This window comes from Homo sapiens, chromosome 2 (assembly GCF_000001405.40).
Source record: "Homo sapiens chromosome 2, GRCh38.p14 Primary Assembly".
NCBI lineage: Eukaryota > Metazoa > Chordata > Mammalia > Primates > Hominidae > Homo > Homo sapiens.
This window is the reverse complement of record NC_000002.12, coordinates 45,866,182-45,893,978: the sequence shown is the minus strand read 5'-3', so window position 1 is coordinate 45,893,978 and position 27,797 is coordinate 45,866,182. Positions and strand designations below refer to the sequence as shown.

Here is a 27,797-nt window from a genome sequence, read left to right as displayed (position 1 = left end):
AAACTGAGACCTAAGTTAGAAGTCCCTTGCCCGGAAACAGAGAGGCTAGGATTGTGGCCATAGAGCCCCAGCCTCTCCAGGAGGCCTCCTATATGCTGCCTGGCACAGTGCAAAGAGCCCTCCAGCATACAAAGAACAGACCAGCCCCGGTCCTCAGGAGCTCACCGCATAGTTGGGAAGCCTGGCTGTTCATTAAGAAAACTCTGCAGTTCAAGTGAGTATTTGCAGGGGGATCAATGAGTGGGCAAATAAGAGTGGCCCATGAGGTGGGAAGAGCGGGGCACTGGGGGAGGCCCCAAGCAGAAAGACATGAGCCAGGCTGGGCTTGGTGGCTCATGCCTGTAATCCCAGCACTTTGGGAGGCTGAGGCGGGCGGATTGCCTGAGGTCAGGAGACCAGCCTGGCCAACATGGTGAAACTCTGTCTCTGCTAAAAATACAAAAATTAGCTGGGTGTGGTGGCGGGTGCCTGTAATCCCAGCTACTCAGGAGGCTGAGGCAGGAGAATTGCCTGAACCCAGGAGGCAGAGGTTGCAGTGAGCCGAGATTGCGCCACTGCACTCCAGCTTGGGCGAGAGGGCAAGAGGTCAAGAGGGTGAGACCTCATCTCAAAAAAAAAAAAAAAAGAAAAGAAAAGAAAAGACATGAGCCAGGCTGTGCTGTGGGAGATGATCCTGAGGAACAGCCTCTCCCTGTGAGTCCATCACATTGACCCTGCCGGACTGCAGTCATTTTCACAGGTCATGCCCTTCTATCACCAAATCTCCCCAAGTTCTCTGAAGGAACAGGCCACTTCTTTCCACCAAACTACTCAACTGAGCGCTGCATGTGCTCTGACCCTTCCTAACTTTCCCTTCTCATTCTTCTGCATGTGAACTTTGCTGTGAATATGGCCTGCAGGGTTCTGTGAGGGTCGCAAACAGTCAGCCCATCTTGGAGAGCCCCTTTCAACACTTCTCTGTGCAGCGGAATGAGGCAATGGGAAAGTGGGCAGGAGGCCCAGGCTGACTTTCACGGTGAATTCCCTGAGCCCCGTGGAGATGCTGCCCTTGAGAAGTCATCAATCAACAGCAACCCCGGGGGGTACATTACTGACTGCTGCACATTTCTGGTCGCTCTTTCTGCAAACAGAAGGGTACATATCAAAGTTCTATACTGGTGCAGGCTGTAAGGACAATCTATTTGCTATCAGTGTGTGTCGGGTAAATCCATATCCCATTAGGCCAATTTTGCTCAAGCATATGCCACTTTCACTTTTATTTATACAGACACATTCTTGAGTCTCTGGCAAACGATGCTACATTTGCTTCTGGGCCACCGCCAGGGCAGCCTTTAAAACCAGGTGGGCACTCAGTACACCTGGGAAGCATACAACCAAGGCAACTCCATTTGGTCTGTAACACAAACAGAGCACAAACTTAACCACACTGCCTTTCCAAAGGCACTTGTCCCCCTCCTCCCTCACTCCAGCTTGCCTGAGTCCTCAAGTCCTCAGCTTGTCAACACTCAACGTATGATTTATGCACTTCACTTTTCCTGTTCCTAGTTATTTTTTTCTTCTGCTCTCTTATGAAAAAAAAAGAAAGTATCAAATACCTAGTGAGCCCCGTTCATCCAGCACTGTGTTAAGCAATAAGAGAAATACAAAGAACAGCTGAATGCTGTCCAGTGGCTTCATCCATCTAAGTGGACAGGCATGGGACATGAAAGGGCTTACTGAGCAATGCACACTTGGGCCATGGGAGCTCAAAAAAGCTGTCACCTCTCTCTGGGGAGGTCAGCAGAACCTGAGTGGAACAGATTTTGTTGGGCAGAGAGACGGGCAAGCCTTCTGGAAAACAGAACCATTGAAAAGCAATCGTGGAGATGGTAAGGTACAGGGCATTTGGGGACCTGCTTACATGGAGAGAAGCTGGAAACAGAAGCCAGGTGTCAACTGTGGAGAGCAGGGCCAAGGTAAGCAGGTGGCCTTTGCCTTCCAACAGGAAGATATTAGATTTGAGCCACCGTGTTGTTTTGCTTAACAGGAATGCTGCGGCAGCACTGTGTAGGAAGACGTGGGGACGGGAGCCACTGAAAGCAGCAAGTCTGTACAAGAGATTCTGAGGCACCTGACAGTGAGGAGCACCTGGGCTAGCGTGGTTGCTATGGGAATAGAAAAGCAAGAACAACAGGTGCACATGGCATTTTTAAGGAGGGCCAAGGCCTTGTGACTGAGAAGAAGGGAGAGGAAGCAGCCCAAGGTAACAGTGATATGCCTAGCGGACATTTGGAGGCTTAGCACTGAAACCCCCACTCTACGTGCGGAAGATCCCCATTGCATGATTGTTGATGGAAGGCAGAGCCCCAGGTCTTCTACAGAAGCCGAAGGAGTCCAACACAATTTTCCTCCCACTGTTTAGGTGTGTGGCCCACCTTGATCACACAGTCCTACCTGGGACTTGGAAACTTGACGGGGTGAAAAGGACACAGGGATGGTTTAGGATTCAGTCCCAGAGAAGGCATTCAGTAGTGATAGCCAGCATCAGGATGGGAGCAATGGTGGCAGCTTTTGTGGTACAACTTGGGCCGACTTTCCTGTGGCATGGCAGGGTGTGCTTTGCCAACAATACACCAGACTGCCCATTTCTTTTTTAGTTATGCAATGGGCTTCCAAAAAGTTCCTTGAGTCAGAATGAACAGCAACCCTAGGGGGTACATTACTGACTGCTGCACATTTCTGGTCGCTCTTTCTGCAAACAGAATGGTACGTATCAAAGTTCTATATTGGTAAAGGCTGTAAGGACAATCTATTTGCTATCAGTGTGTGTCGGGTAAATCTATATCCCATTAGGCCAGCTTTGCTCAAGCACATGCCACTTTCACTTTCCACTGCTGGCTGACAACTGACTAACCACAATATCAAACCCAACCCAATATCTACGCCCTTCCTAAAAGCCCTCATCTTCAAATACTCAGACGACACAGCCTCCAGCTCTGCTGAGCAGACAAAGCAAGCGACTTCATTGAGCACCTAACTTATGTTCCTTTCTGTTAGCCAACATTCCAAGGTCCAACTAGACCATGCGTGCTGTCAGGACAGGGGCCTAACATCTTCTAAATCCACTTCCATTGCATAATTCCACTCTATCCAACAAAATCTGACCTTAACCCATCCCTCAACCAGCATAGTGCCTTGTGCAGGGTAGGCACTCCATATACTTGTAGAGCTATCTGAATTTATTCATTCTAGGCAAAAATCTGAAAAGCCCCTCATGAGTTAAGTACATATTACTATGATGTTTAGAAAGTTTTGAAAAGACCAGGTGTGGTGGCTCACACCTGTAATCCCAGCACTTTGGGAGGCTGAGGCAGGCAGATCACTTGAGGCCAGGAGTTCGAGACCAGCCTGGCCACCATGGTGAAAATCCCATCTCTACTAAAAATATAAAAATTAGCCAGGTGTGGTGGTGGGCGCCTGTAATACCAGCTACTCAGGAGGCTGAGGCACGAGAATTGCTTGAACCTGGGAGGTGACCGTTGCAGTGAGCCGAGATCACACCACCGCAATCCAGTCTGGGAGACAGAGTGAGACTCTGTCTCACACACACAAAAGTTTTGAAAAGATACTGAGAAACAGAAGGAACAGAGAGTACTATGTACTGAAGTATTTCTATGACAGTTTCAAAATAATCCGAGGGAAAGAGGAAATGGGTACAAGTACAGATGAAGCAAGACTGGCCATGGGTAATAACTAAGCTAGGAATAGGTCCATGGGAACTACATTATTCTTTCTGCTTTTGATATTGAAATTGTCCATAATAAAAGCTTGAAAAGATTAAATCATAACTACCAAAATTAAAACGACTATCCTTCAGAGTCTAATCACCAAGGGAGAGGACTCAAATCTCCGGTAATGGTGATAAGTAATTGCTCTGGAACAGACAGTAAGCACTGAGCTCCATGTATTAGAAAAAGCTGGGATTCAGTAATAATGCTAAACCTCCATTTACTAGAGTGCTTTCAGGGAAAAAAGGCACTTCAATAAGGGACTGACCACTGAGGATTTGAGCCTAAAGAGCACAGAAGAGCGAAGGGGTAGTGACTCTATCCTCTGCACGGCTCATGCAGTTGCAGCCCACATGTTAATCTGTGTGGTTAACTGGAGGAGGAGTGCGTGACCTTTGTGTACATATGAAGCTGGTATCAGTCCCAGAATATCAAGCTCACTAAATCAGAACACATAAAAATGGAGGGAGCCACAAGCACGCTCATAATTCTGCAGATACAACTTCTGTAATTCTGCAGCTGCCATTTCCCATTCCTGGGAAGTCTATTTAAGGCATGCCTGACTTCCTATGGGAACACACCTAGTGTTAAGAAGCAGAGGTGTACACTCAGATTTGAGGGCTTCCCCCACCCCACCCCACCCCACCAACAGCCAGTACTGCATTTAAATACTTAAGCAGAAACTTCAAAAAGGATTTGCCTGAGAATGACACACACATGCCACAGACAAACTCTGTTAAGTATTAATGTAGAAAATCAAAATCAGTGGGAGATTTGCTATAAGACACAAGTTCATCGTTGAAGGTGTCCTCTCACCCTCTTCTGCATCATCCAGTTTTTGGAGGGCGCTTATGGACCATTTATGCCTGGTGCAGTTCTCATCACTGTCTCTAGGGCTTTGCTGTCCTGGCTGCAAGTCCTTATAAGGTGGAGTCGGCTTTCTCCCGCCCTCCATACATTTCACGTGGTACCACTGCAGCTGTCAGCTCTCCTGCACTCACACCCCACAGCGTGTTTCCCTCCCCCAACTCGGTATACTCTTAGTCGCTGAGCTCCTGCCCCAGCTGCCCCTATTTTTCTTAAGCTAAATGCAGTTCCTTCTCTGTAACACCATCTGCTTCTATAACAGAGCAACCCAAATGCTATGTGGTCTACAGATAATTAGTATTTTGTTGTAATTTCTAATTATGATCACAGGTTACCTCTTTGGGGGTATCTCAGGATAAGTCTCAGGCCATCTGAATTCCTGAGAGAACCCCACACGGGCTGGTTTTGCTGGTCAAGGTCTCCCCACTTTTGATTCTCCTTGAAGGGCAGAGCACCATCTGTACTTGAGGAAATCTTATCATCTTGACAGTAAACATTCCTGATGGAGGCTATTGAAAAGGTTAACTCCCTGGAAATCAGACAAGCCTTTTCTCCACAGTACTCCCTGGCTTGCTCTTTGGAAGAGTATTTCTGGCCAGGTGCGATGGCTCACACTTATGATCCCAGCACTTTGGGAGGCCAAAGCGGGTGGATCACCAGAGGCCAGGAGTTCGAAACCAGCCTGGCCAACATGGTGAAACCCCCATCTCTACTGAAATTACAAAAATTAGCTAGGCATGGTGGCAGGCACCTGTAATTCCAGCTACTGGGGAGGCTGAGGCAGGAGAATTGCTTGAACCCAGGAGATCGCGCCATTGCAGTCCAGCCTGGGTGACAAGAATGAAACTCCAGCTCAAAAAAAAAAAAAAAAAAAAAAAAGACTGTTGGGAAATACTACTTCTGCATTTTTTAAAGATGAGGCATGAGGCTTTCCAGTGGCCAAATGTTTGGGGAACCCTTGTATGCTGTATCCACATCTAGAGATTCACAACAAACATTAGCATAGTAAAGGCTTGGCAATTAAGACAGCTTCTTAACATATTGTTTCCCCAAATAATACACAGTGAGACTAGAGTTCTCCAGAACTCCTTGGGCTGTTGCAACTACAGCTTAACAAGTTTCAAAGGAGCTAAGCAGGAGCTAGAGGACAAACCCAGCGCCTTTTGCCACTTTTAATTCTTTGCCATCTGTTATATCTGGGATCATCCACACACACATTCCCCAAAATATTCACAACGATTCCATGTTCTGGCTATAACCTCAGTTCTGTTTTCATCTGCTGACTCTGGAAATCTAGGTCCATTTCTAATGATCACAGATCATGGGAGATAACAGTGGATTGGCTTCCAGCATACATTCTATCCTTCTAGTGTGCCCACCTCTCCTATGTGGGCAGAGGATGGGAAGCTAAAGCCAACTCTCAAAGTCCCTGCAGCTGCAGTTCCAGATATGATTTCAGTTGGGCCAGTTAGATGTGCTTTTGTGAAATTTAGAACGCCAAAGTGAGGCAGAGACCACATTTTGGCAGTAGCTGCCATTTGCTCAGCAAGCAAAGTCCAAGAGGCACCTGGTTCTTCTATGACAGTTTTAGCCAATGTTGCAGCATCCAGGTACCAACTTTGTGGGTTCCAGGAGGCAGGACCAGGACATCATTTGCAGATGCTGATCATAGCTGATGTGGCATGGTTCTAGAACCATAAAAGTCATGGCTTCCTGATTGTGGGACCCTCTCAATCATGGCTGTTGCAATGTGGTTCTGGAGAAGTGGCTTCATCTGTAGGAGTGGCAACAGCTTTCTTGGTGGTCTAGTTCTGTAGTGTGGTTCCGGGGTACTTATTCCTGAAACCGCCACCTAGAGACCTTTGTCTTCAGAACTCTTCATAGTTCTATAAGCCATTTAATTCCTTATAATAAATCCCTTCCTCTTGTTTGCTGTGATATATTCTGCTTTCTACAACTGAACCTCGACCTACACCCTAACTCAATCTGTGTTCCAGCAAGGATGATCTAGCTTCTCAGTTTCATCTTGATGGCTGTGGAATTTCAGACACAGATCGCTATCTATTGTCCATCTAGGTAGGAAGCCTTCTGCACGGTTGACTGTGGCCAAAATGCTGAGAGTATAACCTGCAAAGCTGACTTTCTGCAACCAAGCATGTATCCTGGGTCAGGCCCAATGGGAGGCCCTGCCTATCAAGCAGGAACGAGGCTAAAACTTCTGGAGGAGCAACTCTGTTATAAGCCATTACAGATAGACACCATGTAAAAACCCAGGCATCAGAGTTTACAAGAAGGAGCAATACTCCTGGGTTCTAATTCCAGGCCATATTACTTAAACTCTGAGCTTCTGACCCCGTTCTGCCACGTGAGGCTAGTGACATCGTCCACCTCACACAAAGATAGGAAAGAACTTGAGAGTAGACCCGAAAGGTCTTTGGAAAAAACTATTCTAGTGAAGAATGACATTTATTACTACTACTATCATTACTAGCATTCAAGAATCATAATCAAGAAAAGAGGGACCTTTTCCCACACTTTTAAAGGCACTTTCTAAGTCTTTAATACTCATAACTTTTCAGCACATTGGCATTTAAAGAAAAAGGTTTACGAGCTTCATAAAAAATCAGCACTCGAAGTGCAATGCTTCCTTTAGATTATAGCCAAGCATTAGAAAGGTTTGAAAAAGTCATTTGACTTCAGCATTGTCAAGACTCATTGCAGGGTTACTGTTATCACGTCAGCTGTATTTTTGTGCTATTCTCCAAGATGGCTGGACTATTTCCTGTGCCCATGTAGTTAGGTAGTTCTGGGTTTTTACTGTTGCTGTTTATGTTTAAGCAAGCCTGTTGCTTCACTTTTTAATGCAATAGAAGTCAGCATGGCAGGTTTGTTTTACTGCTAGCATTAAAATGCCAAGTCCCCTCTAAGCAAATCCTCTTCACACAATCTCATAGTGTGCTCTAAGATAGCCAGACGGTCATGGGCAGGGGTTCTCAGGAAGAGACAGAACAGGCAGGAAAGCAGACAGCAGCCAGACACAGGCTACGGAGCTCAGAGTGGGAGTGGGTTAGGAATTGGGACAGTTGACAGAGAGGAAATGAGAGTCACCTGGAGCCAGAGCTCCCTGGGCTGAGGACAGTCCTGCAAGCACTTCACCATGCATTCTAAGGCCAAGAACAGAAATGGTCCAGCATGTGAAGCAAGCCCAGAGCCCATGGCCCGGACAGGTAAGAGTTCCACCTGCCAGCAAACGTGGGGTCAGTGGCAAGACAGCCCAGGTAGGCCTCTTGAGGAGGAAGAGGAGGAGCAGGAGGCCACACTGACCAGGGAGTTCAGTGGGAAAGATTCACGTTCTGGGGAGGTGTGGGTCTAACATTCTTTACACACCTGATTCTTGGATTTACATTGTCAAAAGAGCCTTCGTTAAAAAGCAACTCCATGGGATTTCTCCGAGGCTCCCTCGTGCACTTAAAATAAGATTTTGCTTTTTAAATTATCCTACACACAACATTTTGGGAAAATAACAAAAATCAAAGCACCCAAAACCCACAAATTTGTGGATTTGTTTTTAACTGTAAGAGAAACCATTTTACACTGCAATATGAAATCATAGGAGTTGCCCTAACCCCCAAAATTCACTTTAGGATGAAGTGTTTGCTTTGGCTAGAGAACTAAATCCTATCTGTTGTCAACAACAGTCAGAGAAATTTGGCTGGGCTACGATTATGCACTGCCCAAATGGCCATCCAGACCAGAGGCAATCAGACAGATATATTAATTCATGTAGATTAACTTTTTTAAATGAAGTGGTCCAGGCTTGTTTTGTATAGGAAGACATGTATCAAAATACACATAGCCACTCTCTCTCTCCAACCCAATTAATAGCAGCAGCTTCCTCCAAGGACACTGGAGAATGGGCTGCGAATATAAATGTCCCAGGCAGAAGGTCTCTGAAAGCCAGGCCTTCTGAAGAGAGCTTTGCTCTGTTCCCTAGGGTCGATAAAAAAAAGGAAGCTTTGTCAGGTCCCTTCCCTCCAGACACACACATCATTTTATTTGGAAGTCACATGGTGTGATTAAATTTAACTGGGTGGAGCAGTGGAAAACCACAGTATTAACAACATAATTCTTTCTGGGGAAAGATTCATTCTGCCAAGTGCAAAAGATAATTCTGAAAGCTCTGAGCCACTAGCTGCTTTCAACATTTGTTTTAAATCCAGAGAGACCAAGTCATAAGAAAGTATACCTCTGCTCACTGTGGCATTGTTTCTAGTAATCAAAATACTGAAAACTACCTGGATTTTCACTTGAGCTCTTGGTAAAACAACAACAACAACAACAAATATATATATATATATATATATATATATATATATATATATATATATATGGATCACATATAACAGATCACACGCAGCTTATACAATCAGACATGTGTCTGTGTCCGTGTGTATATGCACAGGTGCAGACAATTTCCAGAAGGAGACAGAAGTAAGCAGAAGTCACCTCTGGGGAATAGAACTGGTTGGAGAAAGGGTGTCTTTCGCTCTTCATCCCTCTGTGCTGGTTGAAGTTTTTACAACGAGCAAGTATTACTTTCATAAGAAAAACTAGCCATGAAAACATGTTTTAAAAATCACTTTAAGAGCCCACAGGCCAGGAACTCTAAAGAGCTCATTGTTGACTGGCTCAGTCACCAACAAGCTGTAGAGGTGGAAACATTTTGCAGCTGCAAAATTCCTTGCAGTTTACAAGGCATGTGCTGCCTCCCTTTATTCCTATAACATTGTCGTAGGTGTCGAGACAAGACACTTGCTGCCACAGTTACTGCTCCCATTTTACCTCCGTAGAAATGGAGACTTTAGAGATTGGAGGACTTGCCTAAGACCACAAGGATTGCAGAACAGGGAGATCTGGTCTTGAACCCAGGCCTCCTTCCTCACCACCACCCTGTCGTCATACTATGAACCCTGGACAGGTCACTTCTGGTTTTGGTTTACCCAGCAATAAAAGGGAGACTTTATCATAGGCATCCTTTCAACAAGTGAGTCAACAGTAGCATTTCTATTTTATCAAGGAGGAAACTGAACTCAGAGGTTGAGTAACTTGCCCAGTGGCAGAACCTGAACTCAGAACCCTCTCACCCCACCTCCTGGCTGAGATGCCAGGCCTCTCCAGACTTTCCCCTCCACCTGAAACAGTGTTGGTTTCAGGATACAGATGTTCACAACAGTCCTGGTTGTTTGCAAAAACAAGTATTCTAAAAACTGTAACAGGGAGGGAGGGGCTGGATGGCAGTCCACAACGCCACTCACTCTCAAGGCAGTTGCCAAAAACCCAGCTCTGTGCCCCAGAAGGCCTTGGGCAGTCTCAAAGATTCTGAGCGACTCTGCAGTAAGGGAAAAACCTCAGCTCTGCAAAGCATTGACAACGTGGGAAGCAAGCTCCAAGGATTCCCAGGACTTCTCCCCAAAGCCCAAGCCCCTCCCCAGGCAGAGAAAAGGGAGTTTCCCACACACTCTCCTGCCTGTGTGTGACCCATACCCTGTTCCCACAGTGGCTGTGCAGAAAGGATATGCCAGCCCCATTTGTCCTTCCTTCCAGCATGACAGGCGGGGAGGACAACCTCTTCCTAAGGAACTGACTGACATCATATAGGGAGTGTAGCATGGCATGGTAGTTGTGCAGACTCACTCTCCACACAGGCATGATAAAAACTGTAAATGTGTAAGAACTATAGTATACATTTAATGCCTCCCACCCCAAAAAGGCAAAACCCACACAGATGAGCAAGAGGGAGGGACCTGTTAGGCTGGCACATGCGGAGAAGGGTAGCTCTGCCCTGCCTGTGCCCCCAGCACGACGGGGAACTCACCTCTAGGAGCCTTCCAGACTCCGTGGTTGGCTCCCGAAGGCCATTAGACACTGGCCACAGCTGAGCCAGCAGCAGGGGCTATAATGGGCTTCCCTCGGGTCTTCACCCACACTATGGGCCAGCCAAGGGTCATCCCTGCAGGGCGCCTCAGAGTCCTCCCTGGATTGTGCTGCAACACTACCGTTTTCTGACAATGCAAGCTCAGTGACCAGTTAATCTCCACAAAATCCAAATCCATACTTGGCTCTATTCAAGAGCAATCTGTTTAGGGAAGTCCCCAAATGGCAGCATCGATATGCAGTGAACACACAGAATGAATATACAGAATGGCTGGCTGCAGGAATGAGAGTCAGTACCTCAAAGAAGTACTACAATGTGAATTTGAAGATAGAAGGCTTTTTTCCCATTTTTTACCCAACTAAAATTTAAGCCCAGAGTGCCAAGTATTTGAGTAGCGACTGGCCGTCGCCACTCATTGCTGCGGGGAGTGTGGTTTCAGTCCAGCTTTGCCAGATGAACACGTGTCAAGCCTTTGCATTTCCGAAGCAGCGGCCAGCTTTATTAGCTTCCAAGTCCTTTTGCAGGGAGCCTGCTTGCTTGTCCTGCCAGAGGTGATGACAGAAGCCAGAGCTTCCCTGGAATCGGCAGACTCGGAGGTAACACGTGAACATTTAAGAAACGTTGAGTGCAGGCCCAAAGGGGCAAGTGGAATCAGATTCCAGCTCTTAAGGCAGGCTCCTTTCTGTTCCCTGTCTTCTCCGTCTTTCTCTTCCGTTGGTGGATGGGCCTCCAGGGTCAAGGAGTAATTGAGAATAAGCCAATTTTCTGAATAGCTCAGGAAAGAAAAACACTCAAATATCACCATAAAGAAAAGCATCTAGTAGAAAGCTAGTCAACAACTGTTTATTCTGCAGTGATGATTTTCCAAACATCATTTTTCTTTGGAGTAGTTGAACTCATGTCCCCAAGACATCTTTGAATTTGTCAATCCCAGCAATGGAGGAGGACCCAGTACCACAGAATAACTCATCCAATGAGGCTTCAGACTACTATGAGACTGCGGACATCAGAGCAAGGATGTTGCATTAACCCACGTGTGATGCTTGTGTACAAATATTAATAGCAACCCACATGCAGAACTACATGGCTACAAGAGATACGGCAGCTGTCTTGGAGGACAGCATCAAAAGACAACTGACATGAAAACAAAGGTGCTGTAACTTCACAGCTTCTACATGGAGGTATATCACCATGGCATCCTCAACCTGAAACTCGAAACCCAGTCGCCACATATTAGCTATGACATCATGATATCGGAAGGAAAACATGTAGGTAAGACAAGTCACCAAAGCAGAAAAAACAATTATAACACCTTAATTTCATTTCTAAACTTTTAAAATATTAACTCATGCTTAGTTTATGCCTTTCTACAGAAACACCTTTCCCCCCTGGCCAGTCAGACCTGACATATCAGCGCTTTGGAAAGCTCATAAACCCAATGGAAGGCAAGGAAATGTCTCCTTAGGCTACTGTCATGACAACACACAGAGCTCCACATGCTCCAGGGGTCTTCGAGCTACCACTGAGCTTCTAGTTTCTAGCTAACCTGCACAACTACACAGAGCCCTGGATAGCCTTGGGCAGCTAGTTAAAATTCAATCTCGTTCCCTCAATAGTAAAGAGTAAGATTAAGGACACAGAGCCAGAAGGGCTGAGTTTGCAACTTGGCTCTACCTCATATTGTGTGACTTAGGCAAGTCATTCCATCGTGCTGGGTCTTAGTTTCCTCATCTGTAAAAATGGGGATGACTATAGCACCTACCACATAATGATGCTGAGATAATTAAGAGAATAAACATCACATAGTTAAAATCCTTCTTGGGGAATAGTAAGCACTATGTAAGAGTTGGCTTTTATATGATTTAGTGCATATTAAGGACCTATGAAGCACTTTGAATATAAAATATTTTAACTGCAATCACTATATTTATAAATTTCTGACTTGGGTACTTAAATAACATTTAAGTACCATTATATCCAAAAATGGTAATGAGGCCTAGAAATTCCATTTAAAATGTGTCCATCTAAGTGTTTTAAGATGTGTCCACCTGGATTGCAACACTTGTCTCATCCTTTGTTTTCCAGCCTGTAGAAGACTAAATTAGACACAGCATGTTCTATATATGGATTGCCTTAATTTCATGGCTCTGCTTCTCCAGACAGATACTACAGAGCAGGAGAAGGTGGGCTCATTAAGATACCAGCTGCAGGCTCTGAAGGCAAATACACCCTGAAATCTTTTTTTTTTTTTTTTTTTGAGACGGAGTCTCGCTCTGTCGCCCAGGCTGGAGTGCAGTGGCGGGATCTCGGCTCACTGCAAGCTCCGCCTCCCGGGTTCACGCCATTCTCCTGCCTCAGCCTCCCAAGTAGCTGGGACTACAGGCGCCCGCCACTACGCCCAGCTAATTTTTTGTATTTTTAGTAGAGACGGGGTTTCACCGTTTTAGCCCGGATGGTCTCGATCTCCTGACCTCGTGATCCGCCCGCCTCGGCCTCCCAAAGTGCTGGGATTACAGGCGTGAGCCACCGCGCCCGGCCTACACCCTGAAATCTTAAAAGAACTGTTCTGAGTCCTTAATATCTAGTTCGTACTTACTGATCTATGATAACGAAAGTGACAAGTAGTGTTTCTTAATAAGACTGTATTCAAACCACAGTAGTCTTTGGTATCTGGCCAATCCCCATACAAATACTCTGCTGCATTCTTTCCTAGAGGCCGGATATTTGTCGTGCACCTACTATGAACTAGCCACTGTGTGAGGCATTGGTATACATATACTCCCTGCTTTTACACTGCTGTCCAGGGAGTAAACAGACTGTCTTAATCAAAAATATACATAAAATTACAAATTGAGGTAAATGCCAAGCAGAAAAAAATAGGGTTATAAAAGTGTAAAACAAGGAGACCTAAGATAAGATTGGGCTCGGCCAAGTCTCTTTGTAAGAGGTGACATTCAAAGTGAGTCCTCCATTCCTCACACTACAAATAGAGCTACCGTATAATCCAGCAATGCTACTAATGGGCATTTATCCAAAGGAAAGAAAACCATTATATCAAAGAGATATCTGTATCCCCCTCCCCAGGTTTACTGCAGCAGTAGACACAATGGCCAAGATATGGAATCAACCAAGGTGTCTGATAACAGATTAATGGACAAAGAAAATGTGGTGCATACACATAACGGAACACTCTTTAGCCATAAAAAAGAATGAAATCTTGTCATTTGCAGAGCAACGTAAATGCAACTGGAGGACACTAAGTGAAATAAGCCAGGAGCAGAAAAGTTAAACACTGCATGCTCTCACTCATGTGGAAGCTAAAAGAAGCTGATCTCCTAGAGGTAAAAAGTAGAAAAGAAGATGCTAGATACTGGGAAGGGTAAGGGAAAGAGGGTTTTGGAAGAGATTTGTTAAAGGATACAAAATCACAGCTAGGTTAGAGGAGTAAATTCTAGTATTCTACACCACTGTAGAATTAATATAGTTAATATATAATTTCAAATAGGTAGGAGGAGGATATTTAACATTCCCAACACAAAGAAATAAGTGTTTGAGATTGTGGATATGCTAATTATCCTGATCTGATCACTATACAATAGATGTATCAAAACATCACCAGTACCCTATGAATATGCGTAATTGAAACAGGAAATTTCCCTTGACCCTTTCACGGCCTCGTGACAGGAGTGCCTCCCTTACTCAGCCCACAGCTCTCAACTCCTCGTGGGAGGGGGAGCAGGCAGGTGAGAGGGTTCATGAGCCAGAGCAAGTGCTTTTGAGTGCCAGCAGGAGCAAAACTCCACTCGGGCCCTGTGGCAGCATCTAGTGGAGAGTACCTGCAACATCTGAAGCCCCAGAGGTCATGTGTTACAGGCAGTGCTCTTTTAGCTTTGCCATCTGGGGACAGCTTAAGTGTTTAATAGCTCAGTGGACCCTCTGCCTTTTTGCAAGGGGAGACGGTCAGTGTGACAGCTTTCTGTATCCTGAGCTCTTGTCCAGTGTCCAGGAAAAAATCAGGTCACATGAATGAATTGAAGGATAGTAAATGTGGGGGATTTTACTGCCAATGGAAGTGGCTCTCAGCAGGAAGGGGAGCGGGAAAGGGGATGGAGTAGGAAGGTATTCTTCCCCTGAAGTCTGGCCATCCTCGGCTGGACTCTTCTTCGAAGTCCCGCCATCAAGCCGTCCCTCTGAAGTCGAGCTGCTTCTCTCTGACATTCAGCTGCTTCTTCTCTTTCCCCCTTCTCTGCTCTCTGCCAGTGGAGCTTGGGGTTTTTATGTGTAGGATGCAGGGGCAGGGTGGGCCAGGGTGCTTTGGAAAAGGCAACATTCGAGTGGGAAAACGAGGATGTAAAGTTCTCACTTTTTGCCGTAGTTCCAGGCTTGAGGGTGGGGCCCTTACCAGGGACCCAGCCCTTTTCCGTCTAGAATTTCTCTGCGTCCTGTCCCTATCATAATTATTTTATGTCAATTTAAAAAGATGTCTACAATAGGCAAATCCACAGAGAGAAAGTTGATTTTAAAAAAGCAAGAGCAAACTTTGCTTTTCAATTGCCAGCATGAGGAGAAATGGAGCAAACACTAATGAAACAGACAGAAAAATAAGTGCATCTTTTAAAGCTAAACATATTTCATTGATTGTTCTTTATTATGTCTTTGGTATTAAAGCTTTTTATTCTGCTGTTTTAAAAAAGTGAGAACTCTAGCTCTGGCAATGGCAGAGTAGGTTATTTGAGTCAACTATACCACTAAAAATAACAACCCCTGAAAATGCTAGAAAAAATTGTTAAAAATCTTCTTTAACGCAGTAAAATACAGACAAGATAGTAGTGAAGATCTAGGGAAATTGAATAACAGTGAGAACCCAGGGAGTCACTTTTGCCCTAAAGTTTGGAAGATTTTTTAAGATTAGGAAGACAGATAAAAAAGATCAGAGCCCGCTCAAAGATGAGGCGCAAGTGAAAGATCATCCCCCCTGAGTATACTAGGCCCAGACTCAGGATAAGAGTAGACTGGAAATAAACCTTTGTGTAGATTTGTAACTTGAGATATTCAAGCCCTAAACTTGTTATAAGGTGGCTGTGGACTACCAGGCACCTAAGCAGATGCAAACACTAGAGGAGGATGCCTTCATAACAGGTCCAGATAAGATTTCCAAGCACAATGAACCAGTCCAAAGACAACCAAGTCTACAAGGAAACAAGGTGTTACCGAAACACCAGGGGTTTCGTCTAGGTTCTGCTGCTCGCCACATGGCAAGCCAATGACTGAGGTGATGAGCATTGCCAGGGAAGATAGGCTTTAATCAGGTGCTGCAGCCAAGGAGATGGGAGCTCAGTCTCAAATCCATCTCCCTGACCAACTAAAACTGAGGGTTTATAATAGCAGGGAAGAAAAGCAACAATGTGCAAGAAACAGGAACTGAGGAAGGGCAAGGATGCAATCATGATGAATGAGGAGTCCAGCATCTCATTGTCTGGATGTGGTGATTCGGTGAAGTTCCTGTTCTTTGATATTTTGAGAGGCGTGAAGGTCCTTTCCTGAGGAAGGAACTCAGATAAAACAAATGTAAGGTTCAAGCTTTAAGACCAGAAGGGTGAATAATTATGTTAATCAAAAAGAACAGTCTGTGGGGCTATTGGATCAGTTTCAAAGGGAACCATGAGCAAGAACCAGCTGAAAACCATAAGAACAACAAAAGACTTCAGGTGTTGGCATTATCAGACTATGAAATAGCCACACTTATATTAAAGAATTTTTTTTAAAGTTTAGAAATATATTAGAAGCAGGAAACATAGTGACCTAGAATATTTTATAGAGAACCAAATAGAACTTCTAAAAACTAAAAGTACCATAATTTAAAAACTCGATGTAACAGTTTAATATCACACTAGGTACAGAAAGAGACTTAATCAGTCAGAAGTTATTCAGAATAAACTATGGAAAGAAAAAGATGGAAAATACAGGAGAAGATAGAAAACGTAGAAGAAAGAGTAAGAGGATGGAGTATATTTAATCAGGATCCCAGAGAGAGAAGAGATAACGAACTTTTGAAAGATAATATGTAAGTTTAAAAGTCCACTGAACTCTAAGAAAAAATAAGAAGCCATACCTAAATATGTTATTATTAAAATACAAAAAGACAAGAATAAAAATCTTAAAGAGATGGGGTGAGGGGACCTTATCTTTAAAAGAGTAACAGATTGACAGCTAACTTCTCAACAGCAACCATACTAGACAGTGGAATGTTACCTTTAAGGTGCTCAAAGGAAATAACTCCCTACTTAGAATCCTATACTAGCAACAAACAAACAAACAAATAAAACCATGCAAGAATAAAAGGTGGTTATATTATCCAGAAACAAGGTAAAAGTTCTGGTTAACTTTAATTTTATAAGTAGGCATAAATACTTAAATGGTAATTTCCAAAGTAGTCACTAAGGATAACAAGAATGCTCATGTTTCAAACTAGTAAATGAAGAAACCAATTTAAATTCAATTCAAAAGAAGTCAAGAAAGTTAAGAAAAAAAGCCAGATTAGGCTACACACCCAAATATATCAGTAATTACATTAAATGTAAATAGACTAGATACTCTAGTTAAAAGACAAAGATTGTCAGACTGGATTTTAAATCTAACAGTATGCTGTTTATAAGAGATGAGGTAAAATATAAAGAATGAGAAGCTGTCAATCTGGCCAAGATAGCTATCCAGGCATAAGAGAGAGTGACTGCAAAGGCGCAGCAGTGGGGAAGCTGAACTGACAGGAGATCAGTGTGGTGAGGGGTAAAGATTAACGGGAAATATAGCCCAAATCAAGCCTGCAGGGTAGGCTGGACCAGTCTATACAGGGTTAGGCAAAAATTAAAAAGTGGGATTTACCCCCAAATGGTTGAAAAGTATTGGAGGAGGCACAGGAGACAACGTGTATGACCACAAGTTGCAAGACTATAAATTTAAACACAAATACAAAGAGCTAGTGCTTTTAAGTACAAATAATAAAGAACATTTGGGATCATTGGGAAGTGATGTGGCTGGAGTATGAAATGCGAGGCAAAGATAAGCTGGAGTTGACTTGGAAAGAACCAGAGAAGCCAGATGACAGAGGGTTTGTGTTCTGATAAAAGAATTGTGATTTATAGTTTGCAGATGGGGAAATGCTGAAGGATTTTACACTAGGAAGTGATTTGACGAGATTTTCATTTAAAACCACTTAGGCAAGATTGTTTAGAAAATGAAATAAGGGGAGATGGAAGCAGGGAGACCAGAGCCACTGTAATATTTTATTATCTTAAATACAGGTACTCAGTAATGTCCAAAGAAATGAGAATTCTTATTCTCCACTCCCAAGATGGAGAGACCAAAATCTGGGAAGCTGATGTAGATTTTTAGCCCCCATAGAAGATTATTCCCACTGCTGCTAAACCTCTTCAGAAATCAGCTTAACTTTGAAATTCTAAAACCCGTCATCTGCACTATTAATAAAGTTATTTAGCATTTTCTGAGGACTGGACATCTGCCTAGCACTTTAGGAAAAGTGCTCAGAACCTTCAAGTAGGAGGAGATCCATCATTTGTTTTCTAAAACGTCTGTGATGAGTTTACAAATTCATTTAGTCCAACCACCCAAGCACTGCTGGAGCCCCTTTTAGGTGAAAGATTAGTTGACATTTGTGTGAACACTTCCAGGGATGGGAGCTCACCACCCCAACAAAGCAGCCAGTTTAGTAGTGGCAAAATATCTTGAGCTTACATTTTACCCCCAACTGGTCTTTACTGTCTTCCTGATCAAGGCAGAACAACAACAACAACAAAAAACTCAATCCCTCTTCTATACAAGCCTCCTTTCCCATATGTGTAAATCAGTGCCCAGAGGGCTTGATACATGCAAGGTGTCTCTGCCACAGACTCTCCTCTGTTAAAGCCTCCAGACCCCTGTTCCTGGTCCCTCCAGAGCTGGACTCTGATGTTTCAACATCCTCCTTAGCATGTGACACCAGAACAGGTCCCAACTTGAAGAGTCTTCAGTATGGTTGTGGACATTGCATTAGCAGGCTTTAAATTGTGATGCCTGAAGGCAATAGATGAAAATGCTAACACAGATCAGATATGCTGTGGAAGTTTTACCATTAACATTGCTGGTTGAACCTTGGGTTCAAGTGTATAATGGTCTCTACTAATTTACAAGAAAGTATTCATTTGGTTCTCTTCTCCCAGACTGCACTGCAATATTTTCACTCCGAGTCTCACCTGGAACTGCCTAAAAGGGGTCACTCATGCCCATACCATTCACAACCTCTATTCCTGTAGCATCTGAGGGTACCTGTGGAGACTGGAGGCACCTGGTGGGGTCCTGCATGCATGTGTGTAATGTGGGTATGTGTATATCTACACATACACACTCTTCATATTTAGTATGTCGACATCTACATTTCCCCTTTCCGTAATGAGAAAAACAGGATAATCTTACCTAATTGGAATGTAGGCCAAATAGACGTAAGCTATACCCCCAAATAAAAATAGGCCAGAACTAGGCAAGTAGAATAAGGCACTTCATTCCCAAATATCCCCACTGCTAGCTGTTTGGTGGCATATTCTGAAATCTGAGATCAAGTGCCAGCAGCAAGCAGGAAGCAGGAAGCAAGAATCCTCTCTGGAAACAGTGGGCTGCATCTTGTTGGACTCCTAAGCCACCAGCTGCTTTTCAATCACCAGGAATTAAGAATCTGAAGGCTAGGATGAAGATGGCACTGTTGTGAAATAAAACAGGTGGTGCACCTGAGCTGGATATTTGACACACCCCATGGCCACACCCTCCCCATGTGACTCTTCTAAAGACCCAAGCCAGAGAGTGAGACAAGAAGGAGGCAGGGAGTCTGGGAAGGCTGTCACTTGCCTCTAAGCCAGTTGCCAAGTTGGGAGAGCCACTGCCAAAATGTGGGAGGGACTTCTTGGTAGCTGGCAGCTCACTCCAGGCTCAGCAGCCTCTTTCCTCCCTCAGCCTGAGGATGGCCGGACAGGAGGCCAGAGGACAGGCACAAGTTCAGGGCAGGCCAGCGTCATCACGAAGCCCCTGCAGCCACTTCCCTTCTTCACCAGCAGCTGGTTCAACAACTTGGGATCCAGCATGTTGACCAAATATTCCTGCAGGCAGACAAGGCCATGAAGGGAGGAACCAGGAGAAAAGGGACTCCCACATAGGCCTCTGATTGAGTGTGTGAGAGATGGAAGTTTGGGGTAAGTCTGGATTCATAAGTAGAAAGTTACCTACATGGTGTGACTTCATAGAACTTGTGTTGACAATCTCTTCAGCACCAGCCCTTGTGGGCACCTTACAGCACTATATCATCTAACCCTCCTCACATTGCTATGAGGTGGGGAACACTGCCCCATTTTACAGAGAAAATGTTCAAAAAGGTAAATGGCGTCTGTCCAAGATCTGTCTCCTGCCAGAACTCCTGTTCTTTCTAAAATAGCTCAGTGCCTAAGTGAAACCAAAATATCTCTCCTCCTTGGCCTGAAATGCCAAGACAAGAGACTCAGTTGGTTTTTTTGGGGCGGAGTGGGTGGTTATAGGCATCCTCTGGTAAACACTGCTGGGCTCACACTTTAAGACAGGTTGAGGCTCACAGGGAGGACTGCTCTCAGGGAACACACCGACACTGAGGCAAGAGACAAGCTGTCTCCTGGAACATGGGAGAGTGGAGACAAAGATCTCCGGGAGGAGTGAGGAGGCAGCTGGGATGCCCAAAGGAGCAAAGGTAAACTGCTGACTTCATTTGGCAAAGGGGAGTACCTGCATCTTAAACACAAAAAGGAATACAGGATTCTACACTTACGTCTAACAAGTGTTTGCTGAAGGTTCATCTCAGAAGGCACCATGCTGGGGCCATACCTCTCAACCTATCTGTGGTGAAGGACTCAGGTTTTTTTGTTTTTTTTTTTTTTTTTTTTTGCAGTCTACTATCTATGTGGTCTTGGTACGCCTGACTCGTATGCAGCTTGTACCACAAACAAGCCACCATGTGACATCAACAACACCCAGACTTTTCCATTCTCTGCTCAACAAGACAAGTCTACTGATGTTGCCTTAGGATGTTGCGGCAATTAGGAGTTGTCATGAGAATTTCTAAATGCTTTTGCTCAGTTTCTGGTCTTCCTGCTTTACCTTTCTACTGACCAGTGGCAGACAGTTCATGGACTGTCTTAAGCTTCACTCCAGGAATTAGGCTGGAAGACTAGGAAGTGGCCGTCCAATATTAAGACAGTCTAGTGTGTATATGTGAGAGCCATCGCTCCAGTTTAAAACACTCTAAAGAAGTATATCTGGGTAGGCCCTTAGCAGACCTGGGCTCTAGTTCAGACTTTCCAGCTGACTCAATGTATATCCCTTTGTTTCCATGTGGTTGACTTTCCCCTTCAGAAGATGCTGGATTTGTGCCAGGCAGCCACTAAGGACCCTTCCAGCTCCCAGGTGTCATGCTCTCCTTGAGCACACAGCTCCAGAGACAACCTGCATACCCATGACTCAATTTACATCTGCAGCCTGCCGCTGCCCCTCCATGCCCACCCCAACACCACAGCCATTTATCCAGACATCTGGATATCTCCTAGACATCTCAAATTTGAAATGGCCCCAGCCCCTTGAGGTCTGGCCCATATCAGTTAACACCAACTCTGTCCTTCCAGTTGCTTAGAACAAATACCTTGGAGCCATCCTTGACTTCTCTATCTCCAATCCACTTCTGGCATGTCAGTAAGATTCCACTCTCCCGCTCAAATATATCCAAAACCTAACTACTTCTTATCCCCACCACGCTGATTCAGGCCACTGTCATCACTGGCCTGGATCATGGCAGTGGCTCTTAATTGACCTCTGGTTCTGCCTTGCTGCCCATTCTTACACAGCAGCCAGAATGATGCTGTTAAACCTCAGGTCAGGCCACTCCTCTGCACAGAGCCCTCCTACGACTCCAGCTTTAATTCAGAGCCAAGGTCAGAGTCCTAACTGATCTGCAAAGCCCTGCATGAGCTGGCTCTCTGCTGCCGCTCTGACCTCGTTTCCACCCTTTGCCTCCTCATGCTCTGTTCCAGTCAGGCTACTTCTTTGCTTGCAGGGTCTTTGCACTTGCTGTTTTCTCTGCCCAACGTGATGTTCTTTCATTCCTGCATGGCTGACTTTGTTTCCTTCCAGAGTTACGCAAAGGGCTCCCTGTTCCCCTAACATCCCAGCATCCCCACCCCCTACAGTTCATATCACCCTTTCTTGCTTAATTTTTCCCTCCTTAGCAGTTATAAATTATTAACAACTAGGACTTTTCAAGTATCTGCAATCTATCTCCTCAACCAGAATGTAAGTTCCATGAGGGCAGAGCTTTTTGTCTGTTGTTCACATTATCTCCCCAGTGCCTCCCATGGTGCCTGGCATAGGGTACTGTCACACTAACTCCGTCCTCAGTATACTTGTGGAATGGGGACAGGAGTTCTGCTCTAGCTGCTCCAAGTTCCTCAGGTTGCCTCCTTTCTCCACTTCGTCATCAGACCCCAGACATCAAACTCCGCAGTGTGTAAGGGGAAGGTTCTGGCAGGGGGGAAAGAAGGCTGTCTCTCCTCTCTGGGGCAGTCTCAGGAGGGAACTGTGGAGAAGTTCAGTCCTCCTCCCTTAAATCCTTACCGCTGACCTGGCTTCTGGCTTCTAAAGCTGCTGCTTTGCACCCTCATCTCTGCAAAGAAAAATACCCTCAGGATGGGGTTTGTAAAACTTAATCCCATGTAAACCCTTCAGCTGTTTACCTGAATCCCATTTAATCTCCTATAGAGATACCTCTAAATCATCTGCTCTCAACGAGTCAGGGAAAAAGAAAAGAGACAGCTCTTCTGAAGATATTTTTATTGCTCTTGCTGCTGAGAAAACAAGTTTGCATTTTCATCAAGAGAAAGCAAAGCCACGGAGCAACTATTTATAGCCCCCTTCACCCCTGACCCCAGATTATCTAACCACAGGTTCCCTGGAGCACATAATCCGCAACAGGTAAAGCATTTTATTCATTTAAATCTTCCTCTGGATGAATATCCTGGACCCCAACTGCAATTGCACGTGTGAACCTGCATGACCTTCCGTTTGTTTTCACCAGGGAGAGCATGAAATGCTCTCAAAGCCAGAGCCATACACAAATGAGACTCCCCTTGACAGGGTGGGACTAACAGACCAGGCCACCCACTGAGGAAGGGGGCTTCCATCTCTGTGGTTAACAGATGTGCCTTCTCTCTCAGTCCCCACATGCAACCACAGTCCTGAAAGGACTAGGACACCCTGGAACTTTAGAAGACAAGCATTTGCAGGGTCCCTGGAGCAACCACTACTTTGAGAGGTCTCTTCCACTACATCCCTGACAACCAGGCCCCGCTGTTTGCCCCAAAACTTCTGGGCACAGGTTGGGACTGGGCATTCACTCACCATCTTCTGGGGAGCCCATTCCCCCCGAGTGCCATTGGTTCCACTGGGGTTTACTCCCTCCAAACATCTAGTGTCTTTGTCATCACCAAGCGCTCACTATGTGCCCAGTACGTTACTCACCTCGTTTGACCACTACAAGCGAAGGAGAGAGAATTAGCACCCCCACTCACAAGTGAGGAAATCCATATTTAGAACCATTAAAGAAGTCTGCCCAAGATGACATGGCTTAAGGTAACCGATAGAAACTGGATTTGAACAAACTGTGTCTGGCTCCAAAAACTACACCCTTGACCACGAGGCTCTTCCCCCTTGACTACCTCACACATCTCCCTACTTTCCAAACTGATTCCATGATGCTCAAGAGAAATGGGCTGAAATTCTGCTCTGCATGGCTGATGAGAGAGCAAGAGAAATAGAGATAACAACAACAAAACCCCTGAATGTGAATTCTTTCATTAAAGAACATCACTTAAGTGCCCAAATCAATAGCTGATGTTAAAATACAATGACTGAGTATAAAGAGGTTCTCCCCCCAGTTATACCTTTAAAACAAGTTAGCATCTCGAACATGCACACAAACACTGGAGCGTGCTGCTAATAGCTGAGTCTACACAGGATCTTTCTCCTTAAGGCTGGTCAGACCCCTTTCCTAGGATCCCCTTACCCCAAGTACTCCATGAATTGCACTCTGTGTCTTGGGTTCTGCATTTCTAGCAACCTAGTCAACCAGCAGTCCTCCTGACTTTCCTCCCCAGAGTGAGTAGAGTAATACTTGAGGGCTGTTTAAAAGAAAGGACTCAGATGTGAGGAGCCCTTCAGAGGTAGCTGCAATGGGCCTGATGGGAAGGCAAATCCAAATGACCTGGCTTGCAGGGAAGGACACTGCAGGCCAGGAAGGAGAGCAGTTTATCCTCAGTCACCGAGCTCCTCCATAGAAAAATGTAATGGGGCCGGGCGCAGTGGCTCTTGCCTGTAATCCCAGCACTTTGGGAGGCCGAGGTGGACAGACCAGGAGGTCAGGAGTTCAAGACCAGCCTGGCCAATATGGTGAAACCCCGTCTCTACTAAAAATACAACAATTAGCTGGGCGTGGTGGCGTGCACCTGTAGTCCCAGCTACTCGGGAGGCTGAGCCAGGAGAATTGCTTGAACCCAGGAGGTGGACGTTGCAGTGAGCCTAGATCATGCCACTGCACTCCAGCCTGGGTGACAGAGTGAGACACCAACTCAAAAAAAAAAAAAAAAAAAGAGAGAGAGAAACAAAAACAAAAACAAAAAGAAAAATGTAACAGACCTTGGGGCCAGACAGCCCAGGGGGATTTGAAGCCAGCTTACTAGGTGTGCTCCCTTAGTGAGCTCAACCTCTCTATGCTCAGGACAATAGGAAGAAGAGTTGTCCCTACCTCACATAGGGTTGCTATGAGGGGAAAAAACAGGTAGCATGTGTGAAAGGCTCAGCACAGTGCCTGGCGTGTAATAGGTGCTAAATAAATGGTAGATTTTGTGTTTGTTACCATCGTTAGCAATATTTTGTGACTTTCATTGTTATGAGCGATTACTAGCAGTGTCACAAACAGTTTTAACCAGGACAGAGAATGGATTCCCTCATGTAATCCTCTCTTCCCTGAAGATATGGCCGGAATGCACAGTATCTTGGTCATAAGGATAATAACAATAGTGGCTAACATTTAGTACAAGCTGCATTCTTCTAAAGCTATTCATGAATCTTCAGTCATTAATATCAAGTTACTGATTTTTAAATTTGAAGTATTTAGCCAAATATTTTACAGATTGTTTCTCAAATATTTCTATCAGCTCCTAAATTCAGCTAAAAAGTAGATCACCTATCACAAAGAACCTAGAAAGTCAAGAAAACCCATGCACCAAATGAACTTTTTTTCTTTGCCTGACCACGCAGCTTAAACCACACAGCTGGAAATTCTACCAGCTACTTATTTATTTACGTTTTCTTTCTTTTTTCTTTTTTTTTTTTTTTTGAGACAGGATGTTGCTCTGTCACTCAGGCTGGAGTGCAGTGGCACGATCTTGGCTCACTGCAACCTCTGCCTCCCAGATTCAAGAGATTCTTCTGTCTCAGCCTCCCAAGTAGCTGGGATTACAGGCATGCACCACCATGCCTGGTTATTTTTATTTTATTTTATTTTATTTTTTGTATTTTTAGTAGAGATGGGGTTTCCCCATGTTGGCCAGGCTGGTCTTGAACTCCTGACCTCAGACGATCCGCCCACCTCGGCCTGCCTCCCAAAGTGCTGGAATTACAGGCATGAGCCACTGTGCCCAGCCCTACCAGCTATTTAAAAGACAAAAATCAGCCAGGCATGGTGGCTCACGCCTATAATCCCAGTATTTTGGGAGGCTGAGGCGGGCAGATCACCTGAGGTCAGGAGTTCAAGACCAGCCTGGCCAACATGGGGAAACTCCGTCTCTACTAAAAATACAAAAATTAGCCAGGCGTGGTGGCAGGTGCCTGTGGCAGGAGGGAAAAAGGGGCTCAGGAGAGTTGGGCTAGCAACTACTTATACCTTAGTGTACATTCATTTAATCAGTTTTCCTTCCTTCCTTACCTAAGATGGACTAACTGCCCTAAAAAGTTTTTTTTTTTTTTTTTTTTTTTGGACAGGAAAGGGGATTTTGGTGTTTGAGACTTTAGGGAAGATGTTCTTAACCCAAGCTGGGCTGTAGAATCACCTGGAGAACAAAAAAAAAAAAAAAAAAAAAAGCTCCGTTACACCCCCCAACCAGACCAGGCATGGGTGTTTTTGTTTGTTTGTTTTTTGTTTGTTTGTTTGTTTTTAAAACTTTGCAGATATTTCAGTATGAAGCCAGGACTGAACCCACCACTCACGGAGAACAATGCAGCCAAAAAGCAAAAAGCAGTTCAAAAGCTGTGACCATGTGGGGCCATAGAAAAACCTGGCGGGAATGAGGCATCAAAACAATGATACGCCCTCTTTTTAAAAACTTCAAGTGGACTTCCTGTGGCCAACTAGTGAGACGTTCAGGAGCCCCAAAACAAGTGACCTGGGGGCTTCCCAAGGGGCTGTCCTGCAGAAGTGATGAGGTAGGATGAAAGGCCCCCAAACAACAGCTCCATCAGGTCTTTTGCTCCTTTCACAAGGATAATATACAAAAATCAACTGCTATATGCCAGCAATAAATTTGAACTTAAAAACACATTAGCACACACGTGCACACACACACACTCCAAAAAGACAAAACCCTCAGGTATAAATCTAACAAAAGATATGCAAAATCTATAGCAGGAAAACAAAACCTCTGATGAAAAAAATCAAAGATCTAAATCAATGAGGAGATATTCCTCCACCGAATTTTAAAAATAAATCTGAATCTCTCATCGTGATCACTTTCATAATGACAGTTAACAGAAAAATTCCCCCAAATAAAAGCAGTCCCATGGACTTTCAGTTACAAATAAGCAGCTCAGATCCTCTACCCCTGTTGGCTGCAGCAGGGAAGGAGGCTCCAACATAGGGTTGCCAGGTAAAATACAAATAACCTTGTAGTATATTTACTTATATCCCAAATCTTGCATGGAATATACTTATACTTTAAAAGTTTAAAAATTATTCAGTTTGTCTCAAGTTCGAATTTAATTGTGCCTCCCAGGTTTTTGTTTGCTAATCCTGGCGACCCTATTCCAAGGCCTCAGTAGCAAGGCTCAGAACAAGAAAAAGCAACAAACCTCTTAGGTGCATTTGGTGCTTGACACTTTCCAATGCCTTTTCTACTGTTTTTCTGTCTGGATTTTGCTACACGTCTGAGAGGCAAGCAGGACAATCATTCTTCAGCACACCTATTCAGCCCAGTGAGGCTCAACTCTGACTACATGTTAGAGGCACCTTGGGGAGCTGCTGAAACAACAGAGGCCTGGACCCCACCCCTAAGGATTCTGATTTAGCTGGTCTGGAGTGGGACCTGTGCATCTTTTTTAAATAGTCTATCATGGTAAAAGTTAAAGACATATGAAGGTAGACAATAAAGGATAATGAACCCCAAGAGCTCCAATCACCCAGCTTCAACAATTATTAACGCATAGCCAATGTTATTTCATGTGCCAGTGCTGGCCAATAGAATTTTCCACAATGATGTAAATGTGCTAGATCTGCACTGTGCAGTATGGCAGCCCCTGGACGCATGTTGACTATTGAGCACTTGAAATGTGGCTGGTGTCACAGGGGAACTGAATTTAATTTTTTAAGTTTTAATTAACGTAAATAGCCACAGGTGGCTAGTGGCTACATCCTGAACAACGCAGATTAACACCGTCGCCTGCTTCCCCGCCATTGTTAGTCTGAAGAAAATCCCAGGCAGGGCGTGGTGGCTCATGCCTGTAATTCCAGCACTTTGGTAGGCCAAGGCGGGTGGATCACGAGGTCTGGAGATCAAGACCATCCTGGCTAACACGGTGAAACCCCGTCTCTACTAAAAATACAAAAAATTAGCCAGGCATGGTGGCCGGCGCCTGTAGTCCCAGCTACTCGGGAGGCTGAGGCAGGAGAATGGCATGAACCCAGGAGCGGGAGCTTGCAGTGAGCTGAGATCGTGCCACTGCATTCCAGCCTCGGTAACAGAGCGAGATTCCATCTCAAAATAAATAAATAAAAATCAATTAATTAATTAATTAAATAAATAAAAAGAAAATCCCAGACATATTATCTCACCCATATCTTTTAAAGCCTTCCAGATGATTCACATGTAAAACCCCAGGTGGAAAGCAATGAACTGCTGTTT

The 27,797-nt window shown here is 44.8% G+C and overlaps 1 protein-coding gene across 19 annotated transcripts in view, besides 1 other annotated feature; it reads right to left on the bottom strand.

The window, feature by feature from the left end:
* Window positions 1–27,797, bottom strand: part of PRKCE (protein kinase C epsilon) — a 536,712-nt gene that overhangs the window by 294,012 nt on the left and 214,903 nt on the right. The window lies entirely within an intron of this gene.
* Window positions 3,483–3,632: an enhancer, noted in NCBI's record as "active region_15696". NCBI's record gives its function as "activates an Ori minimal core promoter by ATAC-STARR-seq in GM12878 lymphoblastoid cells {active_cell/tissue: GM12878}" and the evidence as "EXISTENCE:reporter gene assay evidence [ECO:0000049][PMID:35858748]".